Here is an 11,533-nt window from a genome sequence, read left to right as displayed (position 1 = left end):
ACACGTATGTTTATTGCGGCATTATTCACAATAGCAAAGACTTGGAACCAACCCAAATGTCCAACAATGATAGACTGGATTAAGAAAATGTGGCACATATACACCATGGAATACTATGCAGCCATAAAAAATGATGAGTTCATGTCCTTTGTAGGGACATGGATGAAATTGGAAATCATCATTCTCAGTAAACTATCGCAAGAACAAAAAACCAAACACCACATATTTTCACTCATAGGTGAGAACAATGAGAACAAATGGACACAGGAAGGGGAACATCACACTCGGGGGACTGTTGTGGGTTGGGGGAGCGGGGAGGGATAGCATTGGGAGATATACCTAATGCTAGATGACGAGTTAGTGGGTGCAGCGCACCAGCATGGCACATGTATACATATGTAACTAACCTGCACATTGTGCACATGTACCCTAAAACTTAAAGTACAGTAATAATAAATAAATAAATAAATAAATACGCCAAAAAAATAAAATAAAATAAATGCTTGGAACAAGAGATGAGAAAACTATTTTAATGTCTCCAAAGGCAAACTTATGTCATTGTTATTGCAAGAACAGAACAGAAGCAGAAAAAATATTCAAAAGGGCTTCAGTCAAGTCAAACAAAATATGAATTAGAGTATGGGGACTTTTCTCTCTTTGGGAGATTAAATTACCAAAACCCAGTTCTGGCTTTGATTTTTTGACTTCCTTCCCAAAAGTTTCCCATTGGCCTGTGTCCTCTGGAAAACAAGATCCGACCATTCAGATAAACATCCATCTTTCCTCTTCTCCCTCTATTCCGTAATCCCAACTTCAGTAGGAAGGTCATGTTCCTTCAGCAAGACTGTGGGTCCCTCTTCAATTGTACTGCCATAAAGGGAGCACTGGGATGGGGAGGTAGAAATGGAGAGATGATGGGGTGCTCTTACTGCAAGGAAAAAAACTCTCCTGGAAAATGGAGATGGAACTTGTTCTTTCAGAGATAGGAGGATATTATACAAAGTTAGTGGGAACTGAAATCCCCAAATCAGACTGAAAAAGGGGAAATCAAAAATAGAAAAGGTAACTGGGAGGGGAAAGGGAGAGAATATGATGCAATTTGGGGAGATGTTAAGAGGTTAACAAAGCACTCTCCTTCTTCCCTAGAAATTCCCACCTGACAGTTAATAACAAGGGAGTCACACCTGTGTGTGACAGAGGGCAGCCAATGGCCATTGTGGAGGAAAGAATCACCGAAAAAAAGGCTTTACTCTTGCTGCACGATAAAGTGGAAAAAAAAAATCCTTCCTGAGAAATTTCAACCTTGTCTCTGCTGACTTCCATTTTCTCTGCTCAGAGGTAAACAGCCGCTAGATAAGCCTTGTGGACAAGGTGGAAGAGCAAGTAAGTAGAAACTGACAGGGCAGAAAGCAGAAATGAAGAATCTCTCACACAGAGAGACTCTGCCCCTCTCCAAGGGAAGCCAGAGGCTTGAAGCCAGGCAGGGATTAGGTGGCATTTAAGAGGAATCTGTGTGTTAAGACTTGCCACAATTTAACTGCTCAAGTAAGGAGCTGTCATTTGTGGATAATGTAAGTATGCTTCAGGTGATACTATCAAACTTGATTTCCTGAAAGCAAAGGACCACTGCATAGCTCAGAATTCTATATTCCTAGGATCTCTACCTCAAAACCATTGCGTCTTCTTGGTCTGAGATTTACCCCAGCCTCTGAAATCTCCCTGAATACTAGAACAGAGAGGGAAGCCCAAGAATAACAGGGCATGCTATTTGACACAGTCAGGGCTCAAGAAACAGACTTTGAAAAATGTGAGGAAATAGCCATGGAAATAGGATGATGGAGCACCAAATGTATTGAATGATATCCACAATGAGGTGGATGGCTTTGCAAGGTTGAGTCATCTAGATGATTCATTCCCAGGACCTTCTTCTCAGGCCTCCTCTGAACTTTTCACTGAAATCTGAGGCATGTACACTACTCATGCTCCAGCTCCCTTTGAAGAGACATTATTACTCAAGGAAAGGCAGCTTCTGTGCTTCCAGAGCCAGCTTTCTGTGGTCACCCAGCAATGTTATCTCAAGAGAAAGACACAGAAATCCATGTCCTTTGATAGAAAATCCTCCTTTGCTCAAGGGCATGAGTTACTGAATAAGTCCAAGGAGGGTGACACTTTTCATTCTTGTTTGATGTCTGTCATTCTCAGAGCACCAGCCTGATCTGCCTCTTTCCATCTTTTCAGGGACCCAGACAGGGGACACATGATTATTGCTGATTTCATAATAGGCAACTGGAGGCTTTACCATGAAAGATGAATAAGTAAACAGTGCAACTTGGAGGTAGGGCTGGCCACCTACCACTTGGTGGCCAACGCAGGGACTGCTCACCTCCTGCTGCTGTTTCTGGAGCCTGTTGATCAGCAGCAGCTGCACAGCTACCACCGTTTTACCCGGTAGCTTCAGAAGGAGGACTATTTTGATTTACCCCAAGGTGAGGTTGAGTGGGATGCCTTCTGTGAGTGACTTTGGAGAAGGCTAAGGAAAGCCAGATGAGAAAGAGAGGATTAGAAGCTGTGAGAGGTTTAACCAGGCAGAAATCTCTCCCAGCAGGGGCCTGGATTGCCATCACATCACTGAAAGGAGGGCTCACAAAAGTGGTCTGCAGGCAGTGCTTACTCCAAGCCCGCTTTTTACACTGAAAATGATAGTTGAAGACAACATATTTGAAAGCACCTGCAAACAAAGTTCTTTCAAAAAACAGTTCTGATACCCTGCTAGTCCTCTCACACAAGGCATTCCCTTAAAAAAGAATATGCAAAAATGGGTTGGAGAATGCTATGTGCATTTTTCAAAATGAATTCCTTCTGCCTCCACTGAAAGCAATGTGTTCACTTGTTTGATAAAAAGCTACTTTATTCCAGAGGAATGAGGCAAGAATCAATGAGCTACTTGTCAGTGTTCTAAAGCTAAATTGCAAATTCAGAGTTTCTCTAATTCATGAGGTTCTCACAATAGTAGTATTGCATGAGTGAGAACAATAGTTGTGATCCTGTATTACATATGAGGAATCCAAGCACATAAAGGTTAGGTGACTTACCACTGTGGCACAGCAAACTGGATCTGGTGCTCATCCTCTGAGTCACAGTCCAGGGCTCTGTACTCTCTACTGTCTTCTGCTTACCTCCAACTGATGACAGCTTACCTTGCTATGGAGTTAAATGGGCAAAAACGAGGTAAACATCTTAAAAATACACACACGTTATCTATTTCTGAGAATATTTTCACAAATTTACAGAGATTTTGCATAAAATTATAAGTGCCCCCAGACAGAAGGATAAAGTACATTGATAAAAATGGACTATAATGTTCTCATTAAGAATCATGTTTCAAAGAACACGTAGTGCTATGGGGAAAGACACATGATATATTAAACAAAAGTATTAACAAAACTGCATGCACTACGATTCCAATTTTGAAAATAATTACATAGATATCTAATATACGAAATACAGAGAAACAGAGGAGGCTAGAAATGGTCTTAGAAATGGTATTGTGGATGATTTAAACTTCCTATACTTTCCTGTGTTATTATTTTTTTCTAAAATAAGCACATGTTGTTTTCATAATATTAAAATAAATTCTCTTTTGTAAATGGAAACCTTAGTGTAGACTAATTAGTTTAATTCTCTACTTTTTGTTGGCATGACATGAGCTTGAGAGAAAGTATAAATGTCTAAATCTGGAAAAACACAGCAAAAAAAAAAAAGGTAAAAAGTCACTGCAAACAATTTCAGAGACCATCTGTTAGACAAATGGGCCAAAGAGGGCTTCTTTATATAGCCCCCTAGGGTGTTTACTTCTTTACAGTAAGCTGAATCCTGTTAACTCAAATGCCATAGATAAGATAAATTCTGGGGCTGTAAAGACCCCAAGTTGCTGCTGTACTTTGGAGCTCTCTGACACAGAGTCCACACTGGGCTACTCAGCAACATCACCTAGACAAGCAAATCTCTCTCTTATCGCCCTCTCCCCTGAGCGCTCTCTAGTCCTCCTCCCCTTCTGGATAGAGGCCTGATGCCATAGCCTCTGAAAGGTAATGCATTGAGGGACTATCCCTGCATGAAAAGCTATCTAAGCAGCTCCCCCAGGAAAACTGCCACCTCAGGGTCAGCTCCTCAAGTTTTGGCTCAGAAAGTGAAAGACTTCCACACACATTGCTTCAGGGGAAAAAAAAAAATTAGCAATTTCTTCCTTAATAGAGTTGGAGTACTTGTAGTCCTGTGGCATAACCCTGGGGCTTTGCTGACCACAATTCCAGTATTTCATCCCCCCTCCCTTTGTCTGCTGTCAACTAGTGTTCCTTAGAAAATATTATTATTATCAATGTTAATAAAACTTCACGTTCTAATTAGCCTTAATATTTTCCATTACAGTTTTTTATGTTGTTGAAATCAACCTGAATGGTTTTTTTCTTGAAATATCTTAGATCGTATCATGGAATTTCAAGATTGAAAGAAATTTGCATCTGATGCTTAGATACCCTCTCCCACTTTCCCAACCTATATCTGACAAAAGCAACTGATAGAAAGTATTGTTCTTCAGCTCGTTCCATCATTGCATATATTTCTCTGTTAAAAAGTAAGTCTCCATGATGAATTAAAATGTGTCACCCTATAGAATTATAGTAATTCTGTACTTTAGAGATTAAATGGGACAAATTCAATTGCTTTATTAATTACCCTTCATTTGTTTCAAGAAAACTTTTTGTTCTCCAATTTAAATATCCCAATTCCTTCTACTGTTACTCATTTTCCGTACTTCTAAGTCCCCTCTAGTTGTTCTTCGCCAAATTCACTATAGTTTGACAATGTACTTCTTAAGTGAAACTAAAATGACAAATTCATGAAACAAGTGGGCAAATAGTTTAAAGTTAAGTGCCACTAAAACAGATATTGATCCAAAAATCTCAACATAAGTACAGAATCCTTGGGGCTGGCACATGTGCAGAATTGTAGAAAGAAGGGAAGAGATAGATAAGCCTTTGAAGCGTTTTGTAAATTCTTTGCCATAACTGACTTCTGTCTTTATATCCTTGGACTTCATAGAACCCCTTTCTCTTACATTTTCAGTCCTAAATCCAGTATCATCTATTTTGTGGGAAAACATAGCTATGTTAGTATAAAAACATATATCAAGGCTTCCAATTATATTTGATATTCTGATTCAGGCTTAAGGTCAACTGATTATTCAGATTAGACCCAGGCCTCATCATCTTTCCCTTTTTCCCTGAAGGCTGAACCAATTAAGATCTCAGTTAAAGAAACACTTTTTGAGATCTTCCCAAAACTTTCTCACTGTTATCCCTAGATGAGTCCACTTGGAAATGTTGGATGATCCAGAAGGGTCAAAAATAAACCTTGGCACATTTATTTAAAAATGAAGCAGGTGGAGACTGGAGGTCAGCAGTGAAGACTGAGCGTACACACAGCGTGCTCTTAGTCACCACTCCTCCAAGAGGAGCTGTCCAGGGTATGATAGCCATGGCTCAAAATGTGTCTGCTACATACTCTCCTAAAGAGTCAGGTGTAATCGGTGCTTCCTAAATCAGGAAAGACTGCAGTGCCCTTTACATCTGCTTGTAACCACAATATGGTTATTGGGTGGGCTCCAAATAACTGCTGTACTTGATAATGTTACCTTCCAACACTGACCCTTTTAAAGGCCTTCTAAGAAATTTTGGATGTGAGCGCCACTGTGTTCCTCTTTGCTGAACACTTTCTCAAATGGGAGACCAAGGAGGATGAGGTTGACTCATGTATTCCAGCAGACAGTAACCTAACTTTAGATGTCTACTCTCTACATGTTTCTATAATTCTCACACAACAGCTTCAGGTAAGGCACAGCTCAGATTTTTTTCATGTCTTTTCCACTTTCCTTTAACCCTGTGTTGCATTTGGAATCAATCACAATCTTGAAAGACACAGTTCCAAACACCATAATCGAATGTTGAAAATCAAAAGAACAAAATCCTTAAAGTCTAAAATTCCAAAAATCGCCATCCCAAAAGACTGAAATCCTGAAAATTTAATTCTGGAAAAAATAATTTTAAAAATTCTTTAAGATATATTTATTTACATTTTTAAAAGGTATTTATTTGAGTAACATATAAAAACACAAAAATAAAAACACAACAGAACACTTCAAAGATCACCTTACACAATAAAATAAGCGATAACACACATTTTTGCAAGCATAAACATTCAGGCCTTCTATCAACAGTCACACAAGTATAAGAGTTATAAACAGATGAACTATATTCATGAAGAAATAGGTCAAAAGGTGAAATATGTAAATGCATATCATTGTGGTTGGTAATTGTATGCACCCAGCTCTATAACTGTAGTCTTCTGAAATACCATGATAGACAACATAAGTATTTTCATGATACTGATTAATCACCACCACAACAGTCACCTAAAGAACCAAGATCTCAAGAAATAATGTTTTAAATGTTTCTGTAGTACTGTAAGGTGAATATAGTTAACTATAATTTATTGTGCATTTTTACAAAGCTAGAAGAGAGGATTTTGAATGTTCACAAGACAAAGAAGTGCTAAATGCATGAGGCGATGTGCTAATTACCTTGATTTGATCATCCCGTATTGTCTATGTGTATTGGACTAGTACTCTATATCTCATAAATATAATTATTACATGTCAACTAAAAATAAAAGGAAAAATATATTTTTAAAATGTTAACTCAAAAATCTTAGCTTAATAGTTGTAAAGAAAGAAGACTCTCCCATCAGAGTGAAGTGGGAGGGATCTTGCTTCAGGAAATGAAGCTGCATCAGCATAACAGGACTTTGACCTGAAGTCCTAGCTGCTGGCTGAAGCAGCCACTGAGGAGCCTTTGACAGCAAAATCTGTAAAAAACATTGCGTGATAGGCATACCTAATCGTTAAAGATAAAAACAATACATAGGTACACGAAGACATTCGTTGTATCTCATATTTTCTATAAATGTTCTAAGGAAAAGTACTTGTTGCCTAGAGCTCATTTAAGAAACAAGGTTCTCTTCAGTGCAGCATGTGCTGTTTTAGGGACCCTGCCAGTGTCCTTCCAATAGGACCAATGCTCTAAAATCATCACATAAATAAAGTGTGACAAGAGTTTCAGCTTCTTGGTTTCGTACTCCTCCCTCAGACATACTCTACTTTGTACATTTACATTTCCTCTTATCTATCTCAATTCTTCAAGCTTCCTCATTGAAAAATAAGCCCTGGAGAATGAATGGAATATGTAAATAAATGAAACATCCACCAGTAGATTATTGTTAAGAACTGTAGTATGTGTACATGATAGAATGCTTCCCCGTATTAAAGTAAATATTTTTAAAGATTATCCCAAAATATGGGTAAAGACTTAAGATAGGCTATTAAAGTGATAAAAATAGAATAAAAAGTAGAATTCAAAATTAGTCATAATATGATTCAAAGTAGAAAAAATAGTAATGCAGCAAAGTATTAGTAACAATTTGATGTAAATGAACTGTGCCATTAATAATTTTTCTATATTTTTCATATTTGTCCATTTTTTGTTTCATTTTCTAAATAGTTAAATTGTGCAAAATTTTCTCTACAGTATAAATGTCTACCAACAACTCAGAGAGAAAATGTCCTACAGTGGCATGTAACTTCAAATGATCCAGACCTTTACATAAGTGCTAAAAAGTGTTAATGGTGTCATTTCTGGGAAGGAGGTGCCCTAGAAGAGGGAAACAGACTGGATTCTCAGGCCTTTAAGGTTGTCTTCTTGAGACAGTCTCAGTGTCCTAACTATCAGCACCGTGTATGGAGCCGAGACCCAATTTGCATATTTCAACAAGCTTAATTTTCTCAACAGTTATGGCTTTCACTTTCCCCCATCTTCTTCCAGCCATCTCTATTTATACACCCAAGAAACTTTCAGATTTTCCTTAGTTTCCTCTCATAACACAAACGTGCCTGAGATGTTATCAGGCACATTTATCATTCACATGTCTCTTGAAGGCGTTCAGAAGAAATGAATGGTATCCTTTCTCCTGGAACTGCATCCCACCCTGGAAACCAAATGCTGTTTACATTACTCTTATAGGATTTTTCCAGACATATGATAAAAGAAAAAACTTCAGCTGAATTAAATTTAAAGGAGTTGAATTGAGCAATGAATGATTCACAAATCAGGCAGCCCCCAGAATCACAGCAGATTCACAGAGGCTCCAGCACAGCCATGTGGTGGTAAATTTATAGACAAACAAAAGGGAAATGACATACAGAAATCAGCAGTGAGTTACAGGAACAGCTGCATTGGTTACAGATTGGCATTTGCCTCATCAGTGTATTAATGATTGAAGTATGGCCACTGAGATTGGCTAAGACTTAGCTATTTGTTGCAGGTGCATACTCGTAAGTTAGGTTTTCAATTTTGTCTGCCTATTAAGCTAGGTTACAGTTCATCCACAAGGATTCAAATATGGAAGTACAAGTCCTTCTCAGGCCATATTTAGTTTGCTTTAACACCTATGAGCTTAATACCGACAAAGTGAACACTATTTCCTCATATCATACAAAACCAAAAGTGTTGAAACTAAATTGTCAGGATCTAATACTCAAATATCATAGTATGATATATTTTCACTTTCCCATGGTGTTCTTTCCCTCCTTTCATATATTCCTTCACTCTTATTTTTTAGCATATTCATTCATCACCCAAAACTTCATCTTATGTGCTAGGTGTTGGGCCAAGGCTTGGAGGAACAAAGTGATGCAAAATACTGATAGACTTTTTAAAATGCTTATTGAGTCAGAGGGGCATGAGATTCTGCATTTCTTTTTATAGATATATATACTTTAGGTTCTGGGATACATGTGCAGAACGTGCAGGTTTGTTACATAGGTATACACGTGCCATGGTGATTTGCTGCACCCATCAACCAATCATCTACATTAGGTATTTCTCCCAATGCTATCCCTCCCCTAGCCCCCCACCCCTGAAAAGCCCCCAGTGTGCAATGTTGCCCTCCATGTGTCCATGTGTTCTCATTGTTCAACTCCCACTGATGAGTGAGCCAACATGCGGTGTTTGGTTTTTTGTTCTTGTGTTAGTTTGCTGAGAATGATGGTTTCCAGCCTCATCTATGTCCCTGAAAAGGACATGAACTCATCCTTTTTTATGGCTGCATAGTATTCCATGGTGTATATGTGCCACATTTTCTGTATTCAGTCTATCATTGATGGGCATTTGGTTTAGTTCCAAGTCTTTGCTATTTTGAACAGTGCTGCAATAAACATACTTGTGCATGTGTCTTTATAGTAGAATGATGTATAATCCTTTGGGTGTATACCCAGTAATGGGATCACTGGGTCAAATGGTATTTCTAGTTCTAGATCCTTGAGGAATCACCACACTGTCTTCCACAATGGTGGAACTAATTTACACTCCCACCAACAGTGTAAAAGCATTCCTATTTCTCCACATCCTCTCCAGCATCTGTTGTTTTCTGACTTTTTAGTGATCACATATGCAGAAAGCTGAAACTGGATCCCTTCCTTACATCTTACACAAAAATTAACTCAAGATAGATTAAAAACTTAAGTGTAAGACCTAAGCCCATACAAACCCTAAAAGAAAACCTAGGCGATGCCATTCAGGACATTGGCATGGGCAAAGACTTCATGACTAAAACACCAAAAGCAATGGCAACAGAAGTCAAAATAGACAAATGGGATCTTATTAAACTAAAGAGCTTCTGCACAGCAAAAGAAACTATCATCAGAGTGAACAGGCAACCTACAGAATGGGAGAAAATTTTTGCAATCTATCCATCTGACAAAGGACTAATATCCAGAATCTACAAAAAACTTAAACAGATTTACAAGAAAAAAACAAACAACCCCATCAAAAAATGGGCAAAGGATGCGAATGGACACTTCTCAAAGAAGACATTTATGCAGCCAACAAACATGAAAAAAAAGCTCATCGTCACTGGTCATTAGAGAAATGCAAATCAAAACCACAATGAGCTATCATCTCACACCAGTCAGAATGGAGATTCTGCATTTCTAAAAGTCTCCAGCTGACACTGATGTTGCTGGTCAATAGACCATACCTCATGTAGCAATGATCTAGTGATGACCTAGTTAAAATGTCCAAGGAGACAAGTTCCGGAACAAAAAAGCCTCAGAAATATCTCTACCTCACCCACATAATGATGAGAAAAAGTCAGAATTGGGAGTGATTCTTAAAAATCAGTGTTTCTCTCTCAAAGTCAGGTTAAGGAGTAGACATTGCCTGATTTCTATTAAATCCTACTAAGATTCTGCCAGATAGTAGAAAACATTGTAATACAAATTGAAAAACATCTTTGTTCCTGTCATTTATTGATTTATATAACATGTTATTTGTTGAGAACCATGGTGCACTGGGATGTGTGGTACTAATCAGGGATACATGGTGACCTAAACTAGACCTGGAACACTCTTGAGGAGCTTACAATCTAGTATAAATCCTAAACACTGAATAAAATAGCCAGGTAAATAAATGCCAAATTAATCATTCAGTAAGTGTTATAAAGGAAAGGTACATTAAGGCCTAACATGATTCAATGGAGGTGGCGCAGGGAACTCTGTCTCACTCTTCATACCATAAAAGGCTTCTTGAGAAAGGAATGCTTGAGTTGAGACCCTAGAAAAATGAATAACATACTTTAAATAAAGGGAGATGAGGGTGAAAAGTGGATTTCAGGCACAGAGAATAGAATATGACATGATTTCATCTCCCTTTTTGAAACAGTAACTGTGGCCACGGTAGTGAAGAGTTTAGAGAAGGACAAGGGTAAATGTGAAACTAATTATGAGGCAAGTATATTTGTTTTTGTATTTTTGTGTATTTTTGCAAGACAGGATGAATTTTATTCTGTTTTTAAAATAAGTAAATTTATCTTTGTTCTTTGGAAGACCTCTAGTAAAGAATAAATGTCATGACATGTTAATCCTTAAAATTGTTATAGTTGCTCAAAAAAGAAACTCAAAAACTAAAATTGGATCCTATCAACCCAGATAAAACACTGAAAATTATGAAACTTTCACTCAAAATACAGTGATGACTGCAGAAAAGCAGCAACTATTTAATCATGCCCACCAACAATGTGCAGTGTCCTCCATGGGCCAAACACACTCCAGGTGGCGGCCATGGATGGAGGGGAAGAGGACTGGGGTTTTCTATGGGGTGATGGCAGTGTTTTGGAGCTCAAAAGAGGTGGTGGTTGCACAATGTGAATGTGCTGAATGAGGCAAGTATATTTGAAAAAGATGGAGGCAGTCAGTAGAGGTGGTGGTAGAAATTGAAGGAAATGCATATTATTACATATTTGGGAAGTAAAATGTATTTAAAGATTGGAAATGGAGGTGAACGGTTAGAAAGATGGTCAGATACCTTGCCATGGCGCCTCACCCTAATACTTCAGTGCATGCCAGCCTGACTTCCAGCATTCACCC

The 11,533-nt window shown here is 38.2% G+C and overlaps 1 long non-coding RNA gene across 1 annotated transcript in view; it reads right to left on the bottom strand.

Moving 5' to 3' along the window:
* Nucleotides 1–516: 516 nt before the first annotated feature.
* Nucleotides 517–11,533, bottom strand: part of LINC01193 (long intergenic non-protein coding RNA 1193) — a 52,867-nt gene continuing 41,850 nt past the window's right edge. The window contains exon 5 of the long non-coding RNA NR_040094.1: nt 517–3,201. This is a non-coding gene — a long non-coding RNA (long intergenic non-protein coding RNA 1193). The remainder of the gene's footprint in view (nt 3,202–11,533) is intronic.

The sequence above is a fragment of the Homo sapiens genome, chromosome 15 (genome assembly GCF_000001405.40).
Source record: "Homo sapiens chromosome 15, GRCh38.p14 Primary Assembly".
NCBI lineage: Eukaryota > Metazoa > Chordata > Mammalia > Primates > Hominidae > Homo > Homo sapiens.
Note: the sequence above shows the minus strand (reverse complement) of the source record. Positions and strands in the feature narration are given on the sequence as shown.